This window comes from Homo sapiens, chromosome X (assembly GCF_000001405.40).
Source record: "Homo sapiens chromosome X, GRCh38.p14 Primary Assembly".
Classification (NCBI taxonomy): Eukaryota; Metazoa; Chordata; class Mammalia; order Primates; family Hominidae; genus Homo; species Homo sapiens.
Genome location: NC_000023.11, coordinates 129,118,355 through 129,145,018, shown reverse-complemented (window position 1 = coordinate 129,145,018; position 26,664 = coordinate 129,118,355). Strand labels below are relative to the sequence as shown.

Below are 26,664 nucleotides of genomic sequence, written 5' to 3'. Positions count from 1 at the left end.
AGGCTAGCTTTAGACATCCCCATCTTTCCTGTGTATACATTGAGACAAAAAAGACCTAGCATTGCCCAATATTTGGCAGGTAAGAGCAGAGAGCAAATTGCTAAACTGGGGTTAAGTTGAAACTATTTTTTTAGAGGATTGTAGCCACAGAAGAAACGGAAGTATGTTTAGGTTTCCCAAGAATGTTTGAAAACGTGTGTTTGTCTGTCAGTAGCCAGATTTCCCTATAGATAGGTAAGTTAATCAGTAATCCATTAAAGAGGTGGTAGAAAGTGAGGCAAGGCTCTTGTTAACGAATAAGCCACTGAGAACAAAAATATGAATGAAAACAGTAGTCACATATCTGAGAATCATTCTCCTTCCTTGTAATCTTGAACCAGCTTTTGGTCATAGGTATGGTGTACATATTTGAGCGTATACACATAATAGCTCTGCACTGTTGCACATATGCAGAATATCACATAAACGTGACAATTTTCCAGTGTTGAAAGAAGGAAATATATAAGGCTTGAGTCATGGATATAAGACATTCTTTTTTCCTTGTCCAGTTAAACTCCACTATTGAACTGTCTTTTCTGCTCTGTTTTCTCTCTGATGCACACAGCATGTGGCATTCTGTATTCTGATTAAAGAGTGGGATACAACAGCAGCATCTGGGCTGAATGGGGCAGGGAAAGTCCAACTGATGCAACCAGTTATGATAGGCAGTGGAATTCAGTGACCTCGTAAGGAAATGAGGGTAAAACAAAAGCTGGGATAGGGAGGCAGATACATTTGTTTCCCTTGGCATGGCTGCCTCTATGCAGTAGTTTTCACCCAGTGTGTTATGGTACAGTGGTATCTTTGAAGCCTTCCCAGTTCCATGATGAAATTTTAATCATTATGTAGATTGTATTTATGCCACAATTGAAAGATCCTACTTTGAGAGTTATGTGTGCTGCTTGAAAGTAGAGCCACGTACAGCCTGCTTGAGGAAGACATAATAGGCATAACATGTCAGCCTGGCATCAAGGAAAAATTGTGTTGTGTGTGTTTTGAAACATAGGAAAATTTTTCTTGTGGAAAAAACAGTTTAACTCAAATCACTTAGGGTTGAAGGGCAGTCAAAGGAATATGTAACTCTATGTATTTTTATAAACACAGTGTGATACTGAAATACTGTAGTGGGGATTGTATTGTATTTATTGCTCACTTGTTTAATGCTGTTGTGAGTCTTTTAATCTCTTCAAGTGTGCTGCCCTGAATGAATGCTAGTGTGTTAGCCCAGATGCAAAAGAGTAAATACTATATGATTCCTTACATATGATGTTCAAGAATGGGCAAAAACCAATCCATAGTGATAGGGGAATTCACAACAGTGATTGTATCTGTACCTGGAAAGGACTGAAAAGAGACAATAGGAACTTTCTAGAGTGGTAGGAATAGACTACAACTTGTTCTGAGTGGTAGTTACAGGGGTGTATACATTTGTCATAACTCACCTAACTGAAAACCTATAATCTGTGCATGCTATAGTACGTTAATGATCTCTCAATAAAAACTGGCAAATGTGTAAAAAAAAAAAAAATTCCCAGGCCACAGAAATGCTAAGAGACACTCTTGCTCTGGTTGATTCAAAGTTTGGCTACTTCAGTTTGGTGCTATTTGTCATGGGTTTGTTAGGACTTCCACGAATAACTTCCTTTACATACAAAATTCCCTTCAAACAGAAGGACATCTCCTTTCATTTCACAGTTGGCAGCATAACTTTTTGTTGTTGCTTTAAGTGATATATTTCCCAAAGTCAGAGTGATTCTGTCTTAAATGTCACCCCATGTGGAACTCACCTCCTCTACAAACCTTTGCTTCTAGTGCTTCTCAGCTGAGTGCAGTGCCCTCAGGTCTAGTGAGTGTCTGCTTCAATAATTGTTTCTCCCTCCAGAAGGTCCACCTGTTTCTGATTTATTGCTGTAAATCATCCAGCACCCAATACAGCCTGGTCCACAGGGCAAGGAGGTCAGCCAATGTTTGTTAAATGAAGTGGTCATTATATGAATAAAAAGCTATATGTTTAAATAGCTAATTAATTAGGTCACATGTTGGTCTCTGCTTTCTAGGAGCTCACAGAAAGGACGTGGAATAGGTGGCTACTTACATGGTGTAATTTGACATAGATTGTAAGAGGCTACATATTATCCCATGTATTACTCTGATTACCTTATCGCCTGTCTCTCCAACCTGTCTTGGGCTTCTCTATCATAAGTAAACTAGGCAACAAAAGTGGGGACACTTTCTCCAGAAAGTCCCAGAAGAAGTACATCTATGCTAATTTCCCGTAGTCTCCTTCATTCCTCTTCCATTACTGTTCTAGTATGGGTCGACAGTATGAACTACAGGAAATGAAAGAAGTTCTGGACTTCACATATATCCATTCAGTGTCTTAGCATGATGTGGTATTAAGGTGCTGAGCTAGAGACAGCAGGCCAAGGGAATAATTGGTCCCTTTGGGGTGGTGGAGTAGAGAACATGCTTCAATGACAGGGACCCCTTTTTGAACATTTGGAAGAGGCAAATTTAGAACAAAGAGAATACCTCAAAAGGTGTGGTATGGATTTCTGAACATATAGTTTTTTGGAAAAGTTCAAAGCCATGGCTAAGAAATGACATTGTGTTAATGAGGGGCATTTTCATGCTTAAAGAGCCTCAAATATCTCTAACCTGGGAGACTGACAAGTTACAAGTTGAAGGAAACCAGGTTCTTCTACATACCCCTCCAGTATACAAAGCTCTAAATACAATAAATACTTGTTTTCTAGCTGGGTTGGTGAATGTTGAAGTGTTTTCTAATGGTAAGAATTTTTTTTTTTTTTAAAGTATGGCTACAGATTGCTGGAGCAGCCACTCTGTGGAAACCTAGGACCTTGAAGAATAGTTTACTCTTTAAGGCTATTACGAACTTATCCTCCTCATGAATATCCGGGCTTTCAGCTCCATAAAACCTGCAATAACTGCCCTTTTAAGACTTACATCTGGTCATAACACAAAAGATTGATTGGGGCTCCCATCCTATAGGGAGGGAAGACAGCGCTTTCAGATGTATGGCCTCCCAGTAGATTTTTCATGAGAAAAGCCAAAAATGCTTCTTCGAGATTCATGCATGCATATGTGGTCAGTGCTCAAGTCTGTAAATAACATACCCAATATTTAAAGCTTATATTCTGACCCTTTGAGTCTGCAGTATCCTTATTAGAGCCAATACTGTGTTAGAAGGATGAACTATGCTTTTAAAAAATTAGATTGAAATATTTTAGGGAAAAAAGTACTGCCCCCTTCCCTATATTCTTCCATTTGCTTATCTCTTCGCCCCACTCTCCACCCAGTTGAGGAAAGTTTCTCTTAAATCAGCCTGATACTTTCAAGACTAGCATGGCTGTTGACAGTTTTATGCAACTAATAAAGAAGATTAAAAAATAAACAAACTCTGCAACTTTCTGTATTCTGAAGTCCAATGCAGAGGAAAAAAAAAAGCCCTCTCGTGTGGGAAATGTAAAATGCTGCCTGTCGGAGGGTGCTGGAAATATGATAGGAAGAAAATGACTTCCATATATCTAAATGACATTTGAAAGAACAAAAATCAAGGGCTGTTAATGTAGCTAGATGTTGGGATTCAGGTAATATGTCCTGTAATTCATTCTGACTGACAGTTGTGAGGAGAAATCAGAGTAAGGCTGACCAAACTACCATCCCTTGAAAAAAAAAAATCAGCAACGGGACTTCAAAACTGATTCCTCACATATCAACCTGATCTCCCCGAAGGGACTCCTTTCCAGCTAAATGCTGAATTGAATTCTGTACATCACATTTCTTGGTAGAGATTTAGTGCTTTAATTATATTTTTTTATGTGTCACAGAACTGTAAACATAAATTATCCTTTTGTTTTCTCTATCTTTAAGGAAGAGCTTAGAAAAATAATAACAATTAAAGGTGTATGTGATTCTTCTTTAAGTCTTTTCATTACTCGTGTGGAAGGTACAATAGTTCTCTGTATTTGGTGACTGCAGAGCATTCTGGCCATACCTCCAGGACATCTCAGCAATGACTGGCAAGTCTAAAAGTCATTTGATCAGTTATTTGTTTTGCTTACAGAAATGATGATTGTTTTGATATTTTTCTGTTTCTTCCTGAAATGCTTTGAACTGAGCATTCATTTCTATATCACACAGATAGATATTGCTCAGCTGCAGCATGGGCTGAAGGAAAATCACTGGGAATATTTTTTTAATTTCTAAAATATTTCAGTCAGAACATTGTGGCTCAGACTCCAAAAATCTTTTTGACCCAAATGTTGAAATCAATAATATAGGATAATATCGGCAGAGTTAATAATCTAACAGAACTATCTGGACATGTCTTTGCGTATTAATACCTCATGGAGTGGAGTGAGATATTTTTAAATCCACTGGCCATTTTAAAGGATCCTCCAATTATATCATGTTAACAGTTGTTTCTCCTACCTATATACAGAGCTACTGGTAATGATGAAGCTTGCCAGAAAGCTGTGCTACCAAAAGACCAACATCCCAGCTTGCATCTGGCTTTGTAGAACATGCCAACAATGCTTAATGTAATGGGTCACATCTGTCAAGGAGGATTACAAATTGTACCTGTAATGCCCTGTAATTAGAAACCCTCAAATGGCTCCAGCTGCTATTTCCCTGAACATTTGCCTTGGTAACATCTCATAGGAAATGTGACTCAGAATGAAGAGTATTTAGGTCCAAAGGACACTGTAGTGAAATAGGAACATTTTCTTCTAATCTAAAAAATCCCTTTTTTTCTTGTCACTCTCACCAAGTTTACTAGAGGGTCTTTCACCCAGAGACCAGTATGGGATGTGCTTTTCAGCTTGCTGAGGAGAGATTTGGCTGTTGACTTTGTTTCAGAGCAAAATTCTCCCATGAATCATGAGAAAAGTAAATATGTCTGTTTTCTGTGTGTTAGGGTGATTTGAGAATGAATGTGAGTCTGTAACTGGAGACTTCACAATGAGAAGTTGACCTTTTGCTTGCAAAGGAGACTTGCTATTTGGTTGGCTCATGGGTACATCTGCAAATGCTGGCATGCTGGGTTGTGTTTGCAGATCAGAATCCATTACTTGCTGAGACCTAAGATGCAATATGGAAAATGTAGGTTTAAAAAATTATTTCACTAAGTTTGACTTTCAGTACACTCTTCTGAATTTATTCAAGCAAGTTTCCAGTGAAAATTCACCATCTCATAAATGACTATCTAATAAAAATGAACTAAAACCAGACCCTTAACTTATACCATTCAATAAAAACTTGCTAGGTGGATTAAAATTAAAATATGAAAATGAAACTATAAAATAATGAAAAGAAAATATAGGTATTTATTTTATTTATACACTCTTATAGTAGCAACATATTTGTAAGCATAACTGCAAAGGTATAAATCAGGGAGGAAAAGATTGAGTTGTTGATGCTGCAGAAAGAAACAAACATATTAAACACTTTTTGTATGTTAAAAATCCATGATAAATAAAAATGAAAGGAAAACAGCAAATGAGAAAATGTTTGCAGCAGATATTAAGTATAATTGGTCTACTTAAACAGTTCTTACAAGTTAATTTTAAAAAGATGGAAACTCGAGTAGGAAAATGGACAAAGAACATAAATATGTAAATCACAAAGGAAGAAATAAAAATGGCCAATAAATAAATGAAGAAATATTTATCTTCATTAGCAATCAAACAAATACAAACTAAAAATCCATCCATTACATTGGCAAATTTACAAAAGATTGATAATAACCCGTGTTGACAAAGGTTTGAGGAAACAGAACTTTCATATACTGAAGTCAGAATGCAAATAGGTAAATCTCTTTATGGAGTAACATGAAAATATGTATCTGCACCTGCCAAAATATTCAATTCTACTTGTAGGAAGTTACCTTCAGGAAATAATTAGAAATGTGTGACAAGCAGTGGTCATAAAAATGTTCATTATACCACTGTTTTTAATGGTGGAAAATTAGAAGAAAAAGACGGTAATAGATTGGTTAAATAAATTATCTATACTTGTAGATTGAAAGATTATGGAGTCATATAAAATCGCGTTGTAATAGAATATTTTTGACCTGAAAAAGCAACCACAATCCACGCTGTGTTTAAAAAAATGAAAACACCAGGCACAGTGGCTCACACCTGTAATCCCAGCACTTTGGGAGGCCAAGGTAGGAGAATTGCTTGAGCTCAGGCATTCCAGGGCAGCTTGGGCAACAAAACGAGGCCCTGTCTCTACAAAGAATAAAAAATTAGCCAGCTGTGGTGGTGCATGACTGTAGTCCCAGCTACTTGGGAGGCTGAGGTGGGAGGATCACTGGAGCCCGTGAGGTTGAGGCTTCAGTGAGCTGTGATCATGCCACTGCACTCCAGCCTGGGCAACAGAGCAAGACTCTTTCTGAAAAATAAGTAAATAAATAAAACTAAAAATAAAAGCAATTTACAAAATGGTAAATAGAATAAGATACTATATTTTATACACATACACACACACTAAGAAAGAGAGTGATTGAGACACAGACATGGACAATTATAGACAACGACATAGAGAAGACTAGAAGTAAATATTTCAAAATAGTATCTTGGGGTGAGAGATAACAGGCATGAGACTTTTTTTTTTCTTTTCCCTTGAGATGTATTACTTTTGAGATAGGGAAATAGAAACTATAACAATTACCTATTAAAAAGACACATCAGGCTGGGCACGGTGGCTCACGCCTATAATCCCAGCACTTTGGGAGGCTGAGGCAGGTGGATCACTTGAGGTCAGGAGTTCAAGACCAGCTTCGCCAACATGGTGAAACCCCCTCTCTACTAAAAATACAAAAATACGGGCATGGTGGCACGTGCCTGTAATCCCAGCTACTCAGAAGGCTGAGGTGGGAGATCACTTGAATGCAGGAGGTGGAGGTTTCAGTGAACCAAGATCTCGCCATTGCATTCCAGCCTGGGTGACAGAGTGGGACTCCATCTCAAAAAAAGAAGACACATCAGCCCAGTTAGGGTAAGTATTGGCACTGATGAGCTTGCCTTTGGAGTCTCACTGCCAACTTTTTCCATCCATCTTTCTTTCTTTTTTTTTTTTTCTCTTTTAGACAGAGCCTCACTCTGTCGCCAGGCCGGAGTGCAGTGGCTCGATATCAGCTCACTGCAACCTCCGCCTTCTGGGTTCAAGCGATTCTCATGCCTCAGCCTCCCTAGTAGCTGGGATTACAGGCACACGCCACCATGCCCAGCTAATTTTTTTTGCATTTTTAGTAGAGACGGGGTTTCACCATGTTGGCCAGGATGGTCTCCGTCTGCTGACTTCGTGATCCGCCCGCCTCGGCCTCCCAAAGTGTTGGGATTACAGGCGTGAGCCACCGCTCCCAGCCTCCTTTCTTTAAGTCATCATGTCCTACAGACTTCCAGAGTCCTTAGTGATTTCATTCACTCATCCATTCATTCCTTCATTCAGCAAACATTTGTTGCTTTATACCATGTGCCAGGCTGAGTACTTGTCCCTGGCCAATGCTCCATTCTGTAAACATTTCCTAGTTGTTTCTTGTCTATTCTTATAGTCTTTCTTGTCTATTCTTATTGTCTTATTGTTTCTTGTCTATTCAGTCTGGGGGTCTTTCCCTCAGACCCTGTTAGGTGAATGATTAGTACATTTTTTCTAACAAGTTCTCTCTGTGTTAAATAGATGATCTTAGTACGCTACTTGAACTTTAAGGGGGACCTTAACTATCTTAACTTAAAATAGTAAGTGTGTGAAAATTGTAGGCAACTTTATGTAGATATATGCCTGCCAGATAATATCACTCTTTCCTTCTCACACATATTCTAACTGGGCAGCATGCCTCCAACTATGTTCCACCCTACAAGGCCTGGGCTCCCCATATTAAGATTAGTTCTCTAGCCTGGTAGAGAACTTATCAAGCGTGCTTCTTGATATTACTAATGCATAACATTTCTTCTACTTTCTTTGTCCTGACCTTCCCCCTCCTGTGGCTTTCCTAATTCCTGCCGTCTGCCCTGCTCTGCCTTCTGGAATTTATATCCGTTTAGTCTTTGACCTGCCCTCTTGACTCTGGCTTCCACACTTGTTCTGACCCAAACATCTGCTCAACTTTCCTCAGTGCCTGTATAAGTTGTCTACCACTGCTGTAACAGATTTCCACAAATTTAGCAGCTTAAAACAACACAAATTTATTATCTTACAGTTCTGGAGGTTAGAATTCCAGAATGAATTTCACTGGGCTAAAATCAAGATGCAGGTAGGGCTGTATTTTTTTTTCGAGGCTTTAGAAGATAATCCACTTATTTGCCTCTTTCAGCTTCTAGAGGACCCTTCATTGCTTGGCTCATAGCCCTCTTCATCCATCTTCAAAGCCAGGAACATTGCATTTACCTGAACATTCTTCCATAGTCATATCTCCCTCTACCATAGCTGGGAAATGTTCTCCACTTTGAAGAAACCATATGGGTTGAATTGTGGCCCCTCAAAAGATATGTCCACATCCTAATCCCCAGGCCTTATGAATGTTACATTGCTTGGAAAAAAAGTTCTTTGCAGATGTAATTGTACATATTGAGATGAGAAGATTATCTCAGATGATCGGGCTGGACTCTATATCCAATGAAAAGTGTCTTTATAAAAGAAAAGCAGGTAGAGTTTTGAGATGGGAGAGGAGAAGACACAGAGAAGAGGAGGCAATGTGGTCATAGAGGCAGAGATCTGAGTAATGCAGCTACAAATCAAGGGACACCTGCAGCCACCAGAAGCTGGAAAAGGCAAGGACAAAGGCCCCTGGGAGCCTCCAGAGGAAGTGCAGCCCTGCTGACACCTTGATTACAGACTTGTAGCCACCACAAACACAGTCTCAGACTGTCTTTAATATTTTGCTTCCATCCTTACTTAATTGTCTTGGATCTGTATCCTGGATGTCAATGTGGAATAACAGAAAGCACACACACGTGGAGTCAGGCAGACCTCTGCTTAATCTCTGGCTCTTTATTTATTCTCTGTGTATTCCTGGGCAATTTATTCAACCTCTATGAGCTTATTTTCTCATCTTTAAGTCGTGGGTAATCATATGCACTCCATAGAGTCATTGTGAGGATTAAACTAGATAACATACATAACATGCCTGGTACATAGGAGGCATTTGATGAATGTTGCCTTCTTTTTCCTATCACCCTATAATCTGTGAACCAGTAGTACTCTATAGTCTTGAAGTAGATGGTCTGGTAGAGCAGATATTTTTGTATAGGGACTTTCCAATTTTCCTTCAAATCTCACTGTGTAGATAGCTTTCTTTTATTTTTTAAATTTCCCTTTGTCTATATGAATGCATGGATGACACATAAAAATTGTATATAACCACTGTGTAGATAGCTTTCTAACCTGATTATACATAAGGTTTCCCCTGATGACATTGCATTTTATTTTGAACTATGATTATACCTACACAACATTAAAGTTTCTGGTTGAGAAGGGGAAAGTCCTACCAAAATGGCTGTTCGGGAAAACACTATAATAACAAATAAACAAATATTTATTGTGTATATATTATGTGTTCAGTGTTGTAGACATTAGGGAATGAGATTAACATAGTACTTATGCTTATGGAGTGAGGAAGACTGACCAGTAACTAAGCAACTCTAGCACAGTTGTCTCTTGGTATCTATGGGGTATTGACTCCAGAACCCTCGTGGATACCAAAATCCAAGGATGCTCAAGCTCCTGATACAAAATGATGCAGCATTTGCATATAACCTATGTACATCCTCCAGTATACTTTAAGTCATTTTTAGATTACTTATACCAAATGCAGTGTAAGTCATCTCTAGATTACTTATACCTAATGCAACTTAATTTGAAGGCTCATTTCCATCAGGCTTCAAATGTACTGTAATCATTTGTATTATTTTAAAAAGTCAATTTTCTTGTCTCCTGTTACAGCAAAAACTTGTTAAAAGAATTGTCTCTACTTACTGTTGCTATTGTCTCTTCTCTTATTGTTTCTTGAATCCACTCCAGTCACACTTACACCCCTACCACTTCACTGAAATGAAGCAATGTAAATGCTATGTAAATAGTCATTATACTCATCGTTTAGGGAATAATGACCAGAAAAAAAAGTCTGTACATGTGCAGTACAGATGCAACTATCATAGACCTAACTACATTTTCAATTTGTGGTTGATTGAATCCATGGGTACAGAGGAAATATTGTGATTGGTGCCATGGTGAGCACAAACACAAGGGGTGCTTAACAGGAAATAAGGACTCCCTGGAGTAAGTAAAGTCTAAGTTGAGATTTAAACGGTGAATGGAAGTTAGCTATGTAGAGTCCCTCTTACCTTCCACAAAAAAGAAAGGGAGAAAAATATAAAGGAAATATTGTTTTAACAAATTTAATTGGTGTAAACATTAAGTTTAAAATTCTGGGTATCTAAATAGAGCCATTCTTGTTTTTGTTTCAATTGAAAAAATTTTTTGGATATAGTTGCACTACTGAGATGGGAATGAATGGCCCATTGGTAAAATTCTTTCAAGTCACTTGGAGAAAAAGAGGGCTTTTATTACATTTTGCACAGATGTCCCCAGCCGGCAGGTAGGGCCATTAGTCAAGATGTAAATACTATATCAAAAATGTTCCTGAATACAAAGCCCTGATTGAGGAAAGAGTGGATTTGGACCAAGTTGTGTTCATGGTAGGATGTTGGGTAGGGAATGGTGTCAAATAGAAGATGTAGTTGCTGGTTTCTAGGAATAATAGTAATCACAAAAATATGTTGTACATTAATTTATGTGCCAAATACTGTTGTAAGTGCTTTTTGTGTATTAACTAATTTAATTCTTCCAATGATTCTGTGAGGTAGGTAATATTACTATTCTTACTTTACAGATAGTAAAGACAGACTTACAGACAGACTTTACTACAGTCAGCAAGTAATAGAGCTGGAATCCAAGTCAAGACCAGTTGACTTGAAAGCCCGTGCTCTTAACTCCTACAGTCAGTACTTTCTCCCTTGGGGAAAGAAGGGCTTTGTGGAAATGTAGGTACAGAAATGACATATGAGAAGAGAAAACAGAAGCAAATATCAGCATGACTGTATGGCCATATATCCATTAAGTGCCAAGAGATAGGTTGAGTGATTAGAGTTACTGAACTTGGGGTTGGGATGGGGTGGGGATTACTTCGTCAGGAAGGTCTACAGAAAAATAAATCTTAGGCCGGGTGCCGTGGCTCACGCCTGTAATCCCAGGACTTTGGGAGGACAAGGCGGGTAGATTACCTGAGGTCAGGAGTTCGAGACCAGCCTGACCAACATGGAGAAACCCCGTCTCTACCAAAAATACAAAATTAGCCAGGCTTGGTGGTGCATGCCTATAATCCCAGCTACTTGGGAGGCTGAGGCAGGAGAATCACTTGAATCCATGAGGCAGAGGTTGCAGTGAGCCAAGATCGCACCATTGCACTCCAGCCTGGGCAACAAGAGTGAAACTCCATCTTAAAATAAATAAATTAATTAATTAAATAAATCTTAAGCAGTGTTTTAAGAGAGGAATGTAATTATAACTACTACTAGCTAACATTTTTTGAGCCCCTACTATGTGCTAATAAATATTTTAGATAATATCTAACTCAATAGTCAGAACAACCTGTGGCAGGTACTATTATATTTCTATTTTTAGATGCGGAAATTGAGACACAGAGAATTACAGAGAAGGTAATTTTCCCAAAGTCTCAGAGCTTAACATGGGTAGAGCCAGGTTTTGAACCAAGGCAGCCTGACTCTTCCTTAAATATATTGACTTGCTCTGGTAATTCTTCCCTCTCTCTCATGTCAACAATTTTTCTCTCTTCACGCAATCATTCCCATCAGCCTTCAAATGTGCTGTAATCATTTGTATTATTTTAAAAAGTCAATTTTCCTGTCTTCCTTTACAGCAAAAACTCATTAAAATAATTATCTCTACTTATTGTCTCTCTTCCCATTGTTTCTTGAATCCACTCCAGTCAGACTTACACTCCTAACACTTTGCTGAAACTGCTCTTGTCAAGGTCACCAGTGACCTCCTCATAGCTAAATGCCAAGGTCAATTCTCAGCTCTCACTGACCTTTTAGCACTATTTCCTATAGCAGATCCTTCCTTTGTCTTCCAGGACATTATCCCTGTTTTTCTTTTTCCTATTTCCCTAGCTGCTCCAGTTTCCTTTTGCGGGTTCTTCATATTTCCAACTTCTTAATGTCAGAGTCCTAGACAGCTTCTCACTTCTATTCATAATCACTCCCTCAGTGATATCATTCTGTCTTGTGACGTTAAATACCACCTACATGCTGTTGAATCCCCAGATTTATATCTGCAGCCCAGATCTCTCTTCCAAACTCCAGATTTGTATATCCAACTGACTACTTGTCATTCCATTTGGATGTCTAATAGGAATCTGAAATTTAATATGTCCGAAACCAAACTGCTGATATTTTCCCCACAATCTGATCTTTTCATTGTCTGGCTCATTTCAATTAATGGACATGCAATCTTCCAAGTGCTTAGGCCAAAAACTTTGGCATCACCTTTGACTCTTCCTTTTTTCTCATTCCCTCACCTCAGTCTACATTCAATCTTAATGATTTCACCTTCAAAATATATTTGGACCCTAACCACTTTTTACCAACTTTACTGCAATCATTGTGGCATATTTGGATTATTGCAAAAGCCTCTTAATGGGTCTCCCTGTTCACCCTTAACCTTCTAACCCACAGCAGCCTGAGTGATCTTGTTAAAGCATAAGTCAGAGCATGCCACCTTTCTTATCAAAATTCTGCAATGGCTCCTCATCTCATTTGAAGCAACAGCTAATGTCTATACAATGGCCTATGGCCCTACCCCAGTAGTTTTTAATCATTACTATACATTAGAATCACCTGGAGAACTTTTTAAAAAATGTCTGGTCCTCACTCCCAAATAAAATGAAGCCATATCTCCAGGAGTGATAATATGTAGTGTGGCCCAGGTGTCTGCAGTTTTTCATAGTTCCTCAGGTGATTCTGAGAACCAGAAAGGGTTGAGAGTTCCTGGCTTCATTATACCTTGATCTTCTACTACTCACTATCCCTGGCTTATTTCTATTCCAATCACATTGGCCTGCTTGCTGGAGGATGCCAGGCATGCTCTTCCCTCAGAGTCTTGGCACTAGCTGCTCCTTCTGCCTAGTATGTCCATCCCCAGTTCCCATGACTGCTCACTCCCCCACCTCCTTCAAGTCTTTGCACAAAAGCAGCTTCTCTATGAAGCCTTTCCCGTTTCCCATTTCAAAGTGCATTAACCTTTTCTGCTTTATGTTCATCTATACCCTTATCATCTTAAATATTATGGTTTTACTTACTTCTTTTAGTGTATATCTCCCCTAGCTAGAATGTAAGCAAGCTCTCTGTGGGCAGGGATTGATCTGTTTTGTTTACTGCCATATCTCCAGTGCCTCGTGCATAGTATACATTCAGTTAATAATTGTTGAGTAAATGAATTATTTGACAAAATAACACATAATAAAACAAGATTAGGGTAACAAGGCATCCAAGTAAAATGAAGAGCAAAGGAAAATCCAGGTAAGTAGTTAAGTCTATTTGCCTTTAGTTCGGGGGCAAAGAGGTGTCCACAAACTAAGTCTATATGCTCACTAATAAAATTTGAGATTGATTCTCAAGCTAGTCGAGAGGTCCTCGCATTTTTTAAGTCCATGGACCTTTTTGTTAGTCTGGTGAGGCTTATGGAAGTCTGTTCAGAATAATGTTTTTAAATAAATAAAATGAAATCCATAGAATTAAAAGGAGACCAATTATTTTGAAATATAGTTAGAATAATTTTTAAAGGTTGTAACATAATAATATATGTGCCTCTATATTAGTATGTTAAAATCAGAAGTCAGCAACCTTTTTCTCTAAAGGGTTAGATAATAAATGTTTTTAGCTTTGTGGGCAATATAGTCTCTTGGAACTACTCAACTCTGCCATTGTAGCATGAAAGCAGCCAAAGATAAAATATATACGTGAATTAGCATGACTATCTTCCGATAAAACTTGAGCTACAAAAGCAGGCAGCAGGCAGTTTTCCAAGTAATAAGGTCTACTGATTGGTTTAATAACTATGATGATTTTGAAGTGGCAGTGATCCTAAATGATATTTTGAGATATCTATTAATACAACACCTGTAATGTGATATAAAAAATTTTATGATTTTTGTTGGTGACAAAGTCACAGGTGCTGCTAATATTAACTATGATTTATACATTCATAGTTGAAGGAAACACTAAGTTATAGTTAAAAGTCAGTAAAATAAAGATGTAATTTTTCCCATCCAAATTCACAGACCCCCTAAAATCTCTTCATGGACCCCAGTATAAGAACCCCTGAGCTAAGAGTCTTAACAGTTCAAAATACACGTATTAACAACAGAGTAAGATTTAACTTAGAATGAATGACAATCCCTTCTGAGTTGAGTAAGTTTAGAATAGACCCAGATCCTGGTCACATATAGCTTTGTGGTGGTTGTATTGGCTGATGGCAAGAATTGATCTCCACAATATCCCACAGCCCCTACTAAAGGGTGTCAGGAGCAGCTACTAAATAGAAACAAGTGTAGAAGGAAGTGAAGAGGGCTGAATTTGATTGTTTGAAGCGCAGAGAAGGAATGAGCAGGCAGGGATCTTCCATCAGTTTAAAAATTCTGAGGAAGTTGCACAAACATCAAATTGTCAAGATTTGCAGGCATTGATGAGCCTGGCTCTGTACATACATACATACAATGAAAAGGAGTATTATTAAGGGAAGCAGTGGAAGGCCCATGACCTTTTCTGGAAAATGGCAGATCCCTTCTCTATAATTCCTACATTACCCAGAAGCCTCCAACTTCTTAGAATTTCTAGTTTAAAACTGCAAATATCCCAGCAATAACTTTCAAACACCACAATTTCCGCTGATATTGCCTCATACCCAATTCGGCTTTATAGTGCAGTTCCAATGTAATTGTAGCTACTGCATTGATTGGGTCAGATAATCTATGTGGATTTCTAACCAGAGCCAAGCAAGAACTTTTTCAGGACCCAGAAACTTATTGCCCTTTAGAGTGGTAGTTAAGCGAAAAAGAAAAAACCTGGTATTTTGAATTTATGGCAATAATAGAAAAATTGCTAGGTACTTTTGATGAAGGAGTTTAAAGTGAATACAACACTGCATATATTGACTTCATATTTCAGTGCACATCTAGATTTATTGATTAGAGAAGGACTGACTCAAACCAAGATTGATTTGATAGAAATCACAGTCTGCTTATTTATCATGTGGAGAAAATTTACACATCTACCTGGGCATAGGGGTATTACTTATTGACTCTGAATTAAGACTTGGCTGAGTGTCAAGTTTCCACTGGCAGTCCGTAGACCCCTTTCGAGAAAATTCTTGTTTGCATTTGAGCAAGAAACCATGAAAAGAACATTTTGGTTGTTTAAACGCCCAAAAGTACTTTGAAAAATCAAAATTTAGTACAATATTGTTAACTGGTATTTGTGGTGATACTAAGACTGTTGGCTGAATGAAGTTTTCTTTTATTCTATTTATAAAGAAAGCAAATGAAGAATAATGTTAACAAAAGGACAACATTTCAAGCACTTTAGTTATACTCATTTATAAGTAAATATTAGTATACCAATTAGAAATCATTCTCTAATAAGGCAGGATGTTAAATAGTCTCGGAACAACCATTCAAAAGCAGTCTCTTAAGTAACTCTACTTAGAAGTACTTGGTTAAATTAGCAGTAACTTAGCTAACATTTGTGAAGTACTTAGATTATGCCAGAACGTGCTATATACTTTTCACAGATGTTCTTTTAAAACCTTTAAAAAATTCCTAATAAGTAGGTATTGGTATTGTTCTCATTTTATGTTTGAGAAAACTGAGTTTCAGAGAGGCTAAGTGACTTGCCAGAGGTCTCACAGACGATACATGGAGATGAAATAAAAACTGGCTCCACTGGGTTCTCCAATTTGCGAGTTCTTGAGTGAATTATTCCCCCCTCACAGTGAGGAGGGAGTAGGGAAATCGGGAAGAGAAAGAGCAGATTCATAATATTTAACTGAAAATCCTAAATTTCATATCTTTCAGGAATGAATCACTCAGGGCACTGGTTCCTAACTACAAACCAAGTGGCATTAGATTTTGGAAGAACGGGCTTAACCCATTTTGCTACTGGTTATTTTCCTTCAGCACAACAACTGCATTGCAAGGGAAATAGCTGCTCACAAGTGTTAAGGGCCTTATTACTGTTCAAATGCCCTTCTAGTACTCGTTATGCTGGCAAGGGTACATTACAAATGAAATACAGGAGAGGAATAATTCAAACTCCTTGGATGTTGGCATTTTGTAAACCTCAAAGCCATAGTACAAATCTCTCTCAAACCTCTGGAAATCCATCTTCATAGCAGAGAGTAGGTGGGAAGGGGCTTGCAAATCCTTTTCAACCTGACAGCTCAAAAACCTAACTTGTTTTCTGATTCCTCAGCTGTGACAGGTTGGTGGCGGTGTATTTTTCACTTCAGAAGCTAAGAACTTTTGCTAGAATATGGAGGCCAGAGTAACTGGGCTTTAATGCTAGATTCTGCACAGAGAAGACAAAGGAAAAAACAAGATGAAATATTTGGCAGGTCTGTTCTGGCGCTTTTGCATAAAATGCATTTGATAATAAACATTATATTTTGAAAGTTCCTGTGCCTTTAGACACAATGTCTTGGCAAATTCTCAGCATCTTGCCTACCATCTCTATACACCCATTTGCTCCATTTAGTTAACCTATTCCTAATGCTTACTCCTCAAGGAAGTGTATCTCCACCCAATTTGAGGTGGCAAATAACCTGTCCGCCGCCCAGTATTACTCCACCACCTGGCTACTGAGCCTGAAATTTCCACCATGTTTCATTTATTCTAACTGTATCTACTTACTACATCTGTTTATCCTTCCAGCTACCCACCAATCTATCAAAAAATATTGTCTGCTGTGTGCCAAGCACTCTGTTGCGTTCTGGAAATTCACTGATAATTAAAGCAGATGTGGCTTTTGCCTTTGAGTGTACGGCCTATTGGGTGAGACACAATAAACATGTAAAGAGACACAGAAGTGATTCACTTTAAATTGTGCTATGTGCTATGATAAATATGAATGCAATGGGTGTCATGACAGAAGATACCAGGAAGGGATCTACGTAGTGTGCTCAGGTGTCAGTTCAGTTGAAACTTTTTTTTTTTTTGAGACAGGGTCTTTTTCTGTTGCCCAGGCTGCAGTGCAGTGGCGTGATCATAACTCACTGTAGCTTCGACCTCCTGAGTTCAAGCGATCCTCCTGCCTCAGCCTCCCAAGTAACTGGGACTACATGCATGTGCCACCACACTTGGCTAATTTTTAAATTTTTTGCAGAGATAGGGTCTCACTATTTTGCCTAGGCTAGTCTTGAACCCCGGGCTTCAAGTGATCCTCCTGCCTTGGCCTCCCAAAGTGTTGGAATTATAGGCATGTGCCACCATGCCTGGCCTCAGTTGAAACTTACATTCTACTAGATGGAACTCCATTTAAAGTACACATACTGCTGGGTGTGGTGGCTCATGCCTGTAACCCCAGCACTTCAGGAGGCCAAGGCAGGAGGGTCCCTTGAGCCCAGGAATTTGAGATCAGCCTGGGCAACATACCATCTCAAAAAAATTAAAAATAAAAATATAAATAAACTACACATATACCATGTAGCAGGGGTAATGCACTAACTTACTAGGGTGGTCACATTCACAGAGGATAGGACTCTGAGGGCATGGGTCTCAGAATAGATCGAGTTTTTTGGTAGACTGTGGGTCAGGGAGAAGAGAAGTAGACTAACTGAATTCCTTCTATGTGCTAGGTTCTCTTCTAACTGTTATTTAAAAGGTTACCTTTCCTCATTCCAGCCTTAGCACCAAGAGGTAGGTAGGCGTCAACTCCATTCTATGGATAGAAAAGCAGTTTCTGAGAGGTTAAGCAATTTGACCAAGGTCACAAGGTTAGTTGCTGGCAGACCCTAGGAGTAGGAAAGCTAGAGTGTTGTGTGTGGGGAGGAGTAGGGGGTTGGATAAAATCTAAGGCCTACCAAAAGGAAAACAGAGGCAAAAAAAAAAAAGGAGGGGGGGGCGGAATATGGTGTCATTAACCAAACATGAATTAAAAGACCTGGTCCTGTCTTTAAATTGGTTACAATTCACCTGCAGAAAGATGAGGAACTCATGATACAGGGCAGAATATAATAAGCAATACTAATAGTCAAGTCCAAACTGTGCATTATGACTGAGGAAGATAAACAAGAAACAAGCAAGGGAGGAGTCGGGAAACTTTGAAAAGGCTACTGGGAGGAGGTTGTCAAAGCCATTTAAAATGGAGACTTCCTTTAAATACAGTGCTTGCTTCCTTTTGCTTGGATGAAGTAGTTTTAGATTTCAAGCAAGTTAGGTACAAAACAATGATTACTGAACTGTCTGGAAGGTCAACAGACACATTATGATCATTGAGTTATAAATCACTGAAGGCTATATGGGTCCAGGCAACATCCCATCTGCGGGTACTATTTCAGGTCGAGATACATAATATCAATTGTTGTCCCCAGCTCCACTTCCCGTCACTAAAATGTGACAGTGATTAAATGCAAAATGCAAATATTACAGTATGTAAGTACAAATTTAAAACAATAATGGCCTCTTGTCAGACAATATGGAAAGGCAAAGTTGCATGGAATTTGTTATTATACTTGCAAATGCAGCAATATTTACAATGGGTTGACACAGAGCTACATAACCCAATACAAGGCGAGGGAAGAATTATGGAAAGCAGGAAAGGAAAATTGTGAACATGGAAGAACACCGCCTTTAAGGAATCACAAAGGAAGGCATGAAGAGGGAGGAAAACAGTTTCAAGGTCAGTGTTCCTCAGACATTTCGGAATAGCCCCCATGCTCCTAATTTGTTTTATGAATCAAAGCAAAGGCCAAAGGATCAGTTTTTTGAAGTTTGCTTATGGCCTAACGTCCTCAGTGTCAACTCTAATTTCTTAATTGTCTTATACTTCTTAAATCTCTCATTTTTCTATGATCCATGAGATCCGCGAGGCCAGAAACCATGTCTGTCTTGTTCACCATTCTATTTCTAGCATCTAACAGTGCCTGGCATGTAGTGCCTGCTCAGTAAATATTTGGTATTTGAACAAATAGTTGTTCTCCTGGCTGCCTTGAAAGCTCTGGTGGCTTTCCTCCCCTACTAAGAAATTGCCTCCAGTCTCTGTATCTCTCCTTATCCAATTATTTTCACTAAAACCTGCTTATTTTATATCTTATTCCCTCAGAGACTCTCTAAAGAGAGCAGATTTTAACAATAAGATTAATAGTTTCAGGCACTGAATTAATCTGGGGCCAACCAGAAAAATAGAAAACCACTGTAAGTGCTTAAAACAGAGGATATTTAATGCCGGGAACCAGTTACACAGATGGTGGGGATACATATAAGGACAGTCTTGCCTCCCAGATCAAGAGTATGTTGAAAGCAGTTCTCTTGATGCATAATCCTGTTATGAGCTCACGCAATCTAAGGGTTGGAAAGAATCTTAAACTTTGTTAAGCTCCAACTCGTCAGATGGCTGTTGTGCCACAGATGGCTATTGCCTACTCCAACATCTCTTCTTCTCTTTCTCCTCAGGCACAGAATGGCTATTTTTAGATGAACACATTTCTACCCAGAATCAAAGATAATTCTGTTTTTCTGACCTTCCTTGCAGCTAGCCAAGGCCATGAGACTAACTTTTAGGCAATAATATGTAAGCAAAGGTGTCATGTGGGACTTCCAGGGAGGTTTCTGAAAGGGAGTGGACACATTCAGGAGGGGCTTCTTTTGGTTTTCTTCCTTTCCTCCTTTTTGAGGCCTATAGTAAAGACATGTTGTTGGAACTCCATGGGCCCATGAAGTATCCTTGCGGGTAGAAGACATGGGATAGGATGATACAACAGAAAGACAGGACGCCAGGTCCGTGATGACACTAGAGAGTTACCCTGTAGCTTCGGACTGCCCACTTCCAAATCACTTTTAACATGAAAGAAAAATAAACTTCTATATTATTTAGCCATCGTTGTTGAGTTTTCTGATCTTTTGCTTTCTTTCTATTATATACAAGTGAATCTAATCCTAACTAATCCAGTTATATCATTTTTATTGCATCTGAGACAAATGGCCATTTAACTTTGGCTTGGATACTTCCTGTGGTGGGAAACTTACTAATTCTTTGGGTGGCCTATGTATCTTTGAACAGCTATTACTAATGAGAACTTTTCTTAACTGACTGCAAATTTATATTTATTAAGATTGTACTTAAGGGTCTTTGAATGGTTTTGGGTCACAAAGAACCTTCAAATTTTTTTTATGTCACGTATTTGAAGATGTGTCATGTTCCTTGGAGTCAGCTCATCTCCAGTTTAAATATCTCCAATTCTTTCAATTACTCCCCACAAGACCGTTTCTTCATTTCAACAAGCTTAACCTAGCTTCATGTATTAGTTCACACAGGAAACCCTGTGGAAAAGAGCTCGAGGCTATGAGATTCAGCAATGTTGCCTGCAGCCCTATATATTTAATTGATTCCATTGAATTAAGGAAAAGGTACTTTCTACTTGTTCTAGTCTAAATTAGCAGTCTGAAGTTTACATAATGGACTTCACTATTTTGGGTGGGCTAAAATTGAGGTTAAAACAAACACGATTATTTAATCCTGTACTATATTATAATCAGCGTGTTCAGCAAGAGACTTAAAGTTTTAATTCATTATTAACCACATTGTACACAAACCAGCTTCTCCTTTTACATAGTAAGAGGCAACATTCCCAGAGTCATTAGCTATTGCTTAATCTTTTTAAACAAAGCTCCCTTCTTAAATGTTTTCTGTGGACGTAGCCAATTCAGACTGTTGGGCTCTCATCTCCAGGGCCGTCTGCTTAGCACCTGTTGATCACTTCTAATGGCAACATATTCTTGGAGTCTACTGAGAAACCGCTTTCCATATGTGTTAGAAGAAATTTATAGTCCCTCAAAATGTGCGTCTAAGAGTTATGCTTCTCCCCCACCACCCAACTAGAAGAGTGGCAAATGCCATTGACTCCTACCTGTCAAATTCAATAAACTAATATTTTTTTGTCATCTCAGCTGACACTTCTATGGCATTTCACACTGTTGACTACCTCATTTTCAAAATTATCTACTCCTTTGGTTACCAACATGACATCCCTACTGGTTCTTCTTCTGTATGGCCATTTCTCAGTTTCCTGTGCTGGGTCCTCTTCCTCTAATCACCACTTAATTGTTGCTGTTCTTCAGAGCCCTGACCATGGCCATCTGTGCTTCTCATTTGGCACCTTTACCCCAGACAATCCCATCTACTTCTATATAATCAGCATAGGCTGATGACCTTTTAGCCTGTATCTCCAGCTCTGACCTCTCTCTTGAGCTCCAAATCAGCATTTTCAACTGACACAGGGGCAGCGCTCTTGATGACGCACAGGCACCACAAACCATGAATCTTCAAAACTCATTATCTCCCCACCCACAACTCAGATACTCAAGCCAAAATCAGAGAATCAGGCACTTTCTTACCTTTCTGTAGTTATTCCTGTCAATAAACATGTCATTTAGAGATGTGAAAACCGAGGCTGAGTGCTCAAGTAGCTTGTCTATAAATCCCTCAGCTACTACAAGACACTTTTTTAAAGTTTATTTTTAAATTTTCCTTTTTTCTTTTTATTTGTTTTTCCTTTTTTTTCTAAGCCCATACCTTACAAGGACACTACAAGAGAAATTCTAACACATTTCAATCTAACTCTGGAGCTGGAACTCTTAACTGTTATGCTAAATTCCCCTTACTAGGTAGTTCTATTATAGAATATTTTGTCTTCATCTTGAAAATCAGAGAGCAAGACCCTGAGGGAAGAGAACACTAAAGAGGAAAGGGTTGTTGAAACATTCGGTTTGGAGGGGAGGTTAGGTTCCTGAACAACCGGGAGAGGTAAAAGCTCAAAAAGTGCAGGGAACAAAAGGCAGTTGAAGGAAAAAGTGCCAGGAGCCAGGGCAGAGCAGGAAGGGCCTCAGGCCAAAGTAGTCTTTCGTAGGGTCTTATTGAGAAACAAGTGACCTCACTAGGATTCAATCAAGCTTGTAGGTAAGTGGTTTCCAGGTGGGAAAGGAAAAAACCTTTTGGTAATCCCAAACTTTGATTTCCACATAACTTATACTGAAATCAAAAGGGCCAATTTGACTGATACACGTGAATGGTAAACATGATGAATAGCTGCAAAACATAATAATTGGCATTACTTTGGAACAGAAGCAAAGGTACAATTATCATAGCCCATTCAACCATGAAAATTATAAGCAAATTGACAGTAAAATAATTATTCTCAAAATATTTTTTTCAACAGTTTTATTAAGCATCTTTCTATTGTAGTCATTTCTATTTCTTCTGCTCCAAATTCTGTCAGCCACTTTTTTTTTTCTGGCTTTACACTTAGCAACCCATTAGGAATGGAACTCATTTTCAGTACACAAAAGGCTTTGGGACAGCAAATGTCTTTAATGTTAACACTCTCTCAGTATCCGCTGCTTGACCAAATAGATATATTCCAACAATGTTGGCTATAAGATAAATGCTATTTTGCTTTTGCCTTACATTAGAATGCTGAAGATGTGTTCCCATGAGTTCCTGCCTCCTTGTACCCCACTGAGTGGAATGTTAAAAATACGGAGAAAGGTAGGTATCAAGAAGACATTTCTTAGATGGCACTGATGTCATGATTATTTGGGGGTGGGGGAAAGGTGTTTTCTTTGGGTTCTTTCTTCTGCCATAGGTCTACTGTTCCTCTTACCCTTTTTCAGGAAAATAATTTATTCTAAACCTGTTATTCTAAACCTGTTTGTCTTCACTCTTCTTATGGATCTAAATAGTATCTCGAAAGTATAGGTGTGATGCTGTATCTCACCACTAAGTGCTATGGTTTAATACAAGTTACTCCAGCATGAAAATTCCTTACATTATATTCTTAGCTACTTTAAAAAGTAAGGTAAATGAAACTTCTTTATCAATATCTAAATTAGAACTCAGGTAAAGTGAATTTACTTAAAACAAGGAGTAAGGTAAATTTATTTAAAACAAGGGAACATTTTAGTTAAAGCTCAGATTTCTATCACCTCCTTCTAAATGACATTGTCAAAATGCTTTCATGTGGCTTATGGTTTCATTTATAGTTAGAAAAAAGCCCAATACTTAACCCTAAATAGCTACTGATTTGTTTTTGAGGCAACTGAGGGCGTACAGCCTTTATAAATTGATTAAAAGGCAGGAATGATAATTTCTTTCATGTGTCTCAGTTTCTAAATGCCAAGTTTGTTATCCTTAGACTAGGCCTATAACTTCTGGGTTGTTATATTTAAAATAATAACTTACCGCTGTCCTGTTTTCTTATAGTATTATATGAATTTATGGATTAATAATCAGAAAATGCTTTCTGGATGAATCTGGCTTTTGTTTCAAGGTGTCTAGCAGGCACACAATGATATAACTAGCTTATGACTTCTGAATTTTTATTTCCTTTCTCTGAATTACTTTGTCCTTTTCTCATGTTTTTATAAGAATTTAAGACCTGCCAGATTGGATCATGCCAGTGTTTCCTATAGCCTAAGATTCTACCTTCAACTGTGGCAGTAAGATAAATTTTGTGGTAAGATGGATATATTTGCTTTTCATGACAGCAACCTTAAAAGCTTAGGAACAATCCCTAATAATCTTTTTTGCCCATGTTTTAAAATTGTTCTTATTATTTTTAAATTGACAAATTAAAATTATATACATATGTGGTATACAGCATAATTAAAATATGTATACATTGTGCAATGGCTAGATCAAGCTAATTAACATATGCATTACCGCATAGACTTATCATTTTTTTGTGGTGAGAACACTTAGAATCTACTTTCTTAGTAATTTTCAGGTATACAATACATTGCTATTAACTACAGTCACCATGTTGTACAATAAATCTCTTGAAATTATTCTTCCTGTCTAAATAAAATTTTGTATCCTTTGATTCCTAATAACCTTAACTACTCTCCACTCATTAAGGATCTGTCATACATAATTTTTGTTAACATCATTGTAACCTTCTTATATTTTTCATTTGGATTACTATGTTTTTCTACATGCTGATAAACAACTGATTTGACTAAAATTTATCCACTGAATTGCCTGATTTATTGACAGAGTAAGCTGAATGTTTTGGCATTTTATAGATGTAGCCAAAGGCACACACCAAACAAGCAAACTGAATGGGAAAATGTTTGTGACAGTTTGGCCTGAGGGTACTGTCAAGCTCCCCTGGCATTCCAGAAGATCCCTTTCCAGGGAAACCAAAGGGCATGGCAAGACCAATTATCAGATCAGGTCAGCATCAAATTTCAATAACCATGGAAAAAAAATGTAGGAACTGGTGGCAGACCCGAATCAGGAGCTAAGGACCAGGTGGTATCAAACATATATGAGGGTGTGACTTCTCTGACCTTTTTATGACATTTGACCTTGATGGTCACTTGATTTCAAGATAACAGTTGGGAAACTCCTGTGGCTTGGGCCATATGCTTCCAGATGATTCAGTTACTGACAAAATCGCTAATAGGGGAAGATATTTATAGAAGTGTAGAATCCCAAACTAATAAGGAATGGGCCTGCTCTAATAGTTACTGACCACATTTCACTTGCACTATTAGATTCCTTTTTGAAAACTGTCTCTTAAAAGGATGGTTTCAGACTGCAGTCTGAAAAATGAGTCTTTTCAGAAGAGGATTACTAGTGAGATGAAGGGACTCCAAGTCATGACATAAGGAACCCAGGATGTTTAATTAGGAGTAAAAAATACTTAGGGAGGGTTAGTTTTTAGAGGAGGGATCAATTTGTCCTATGTGGCTACATATAACAATTCTATTTTCCTAGTGGAGCTCTCTTTCCATGTAGATATGAGGCAGAAATGAAGATTCACCCTCTAAGGAGAACACTAGAGAAGAAAAAACAAACTATCATTTAAAACACCATCATTTCATACCCCAAAAGTAGAAAGGACATAATCTCAGAGTGAGGCAAAGTCCTTTAATACATTTAGCTTTCTACCACATTGCCCTTATTGTTTTACAGACCTGCAAGATTTCATTAGGATTTTGCACAAGTCCCTGAAACTAGCCTTTGGGAGCCACTGAAGTAGATGAATTTTCAGATCCTTCTAACCATGAGATATTTTAATTCTGTGATAGAATTTCACTTGTACCTGGACCGCAGAACAGAACCAAGGGACTGGACCTAGGTCAAGAGACAGGCAGATCCTGAAAATCTGTTTGTGAAAGGGTTGGCAGTCAGGCCCAGAGCAGAGTACTTTTTCTCCTTGGAATTCTTAATCATATTTCCCAACTGTCAATATGGAGAAAAATTTATCTAAAAAGGCCAGAGGGTTGTCGTGAAGAGAACTCGATGTTGAACCTCTGTGCCCAGCCTTGAGCTTTGGGCTCTCCATTGCCAGCCTGTGCACCATAATATTTGGAAGAAAAGACAGAAATGCCAGTTTTGGCATCTCTCTCAGTAATAACATTTCAAATGTCTTCGCTTTTTTTGTCTTAACATTTTATTACCAGCTTGTAGTTCTTCTCATCCCACGTGTGGTCCCATGTCCCCCCTTGTGAACTGTTGAAGCTAAGTTGCAGCAAATTGAAATAGAAAACCACATATCCAGGGTGATTTATCATTAATGTGAAATTCTATCCTAACCTGAAAGCCAAGGAGCGGGAATCCCAAGCTGTTTCAAAATTCATATTACAAGACAGACAATCAGATGCCCCAAACCACAACATCTTGTACTCTATTAATCGTACGCTGACAGAGCCCTTTGGATGCATTTGTATTTCCAAATAAATACAAACATATGTCACCATTTTTTATTGATTTTGGACTTTCCTAGGAAGGAAACACTGTTAAATTATAATAAATTGTGTCAACTAAAACAAATAGTGCAAAACCTATTAAGAAGGCATTTGTTGCAGAACTTGGTTTGATTTGTTGGCGTCAGTTGAAATCATGTCGAAATACTGTCTCCAGAAACCAAATAAAAATTTGTTTGCAAATTTGTCTGTGGCAAGCATTTCTAGCACATAAAAATCCTTAAGAATCAATATGGTTTTATTCAGTATGCAAATGTATTGAAAAGCATTGTGGCAAAAATTCCATTGCTGAATTATATGATAGTGTTAGTGAATTAATAAATAATAATAGATGATAAATAATATAGGGACTGAAATAGATAATACATTTATGAAGAAGTAGAGGGAGAAAAAGATTAAGGGGATAGTCTTGGGAGAAGATCAATTTTCAGATAAGCTAAAATAACATTTTATATTCAGAAAATTAATGGAGTTTAGTCCTGTAACTCACAAAGTCCAGTTGAAGTAAATTTCACTGCAGCCTCTAAAAAGGAAAGGAG

At 38.1% G+C, this 26,664-nt stretch overlaps 1 long non-coding RNA gene across 11 annotated transcripts in view, besides 1 other annotated feature; it reads left to right on the top strand.

The window, feature by feature from the left end:
* Positions 1-26,664, top strand: part of LOC124905213 (uncharacterized) — a 275,363-nt gene that overhangs the window by 41,414 nt on the left and 207,285 nt on the right. For 9 of the 11 annotated variants that reach the window (XR_007068316.1, XR_007068322.1, XR_007068319.1 and 6 more), the window contains exons 1-2: positions 17,756-22,901; positions 23,781-23,868. This is a non-coding gene — a long non-coding RNA (uncharacterized LOC124905213). Of the gene's footprint in view, positions 1-10,216; positions 16,756-17,755; positions 22,902-23,780; positions 23,869-26,664 lie in introns of those variants that run through there. The other 2 variants (XR_007068325.1, XR_007068324.1) reach the window with 2 other exon arrangements.
* Positions 7,710-8,211: an enhancer, noted in NCBI's record as "NANOG hESC enhancer chrX:128270785-128271286 (GRCh37/hg19 assembly coordinates)". NCBI's record gives its function as "activates a minimal SCP1, AML or CMV promoter by ChIP-STARR-seq in primed H9 embryonic stem cells {active_cell/tissue: H9 hESC(primed)}" and the evidence as "EXISTENCE:reporter gene assay evidence [ECO:0000049][PMID:30033119]".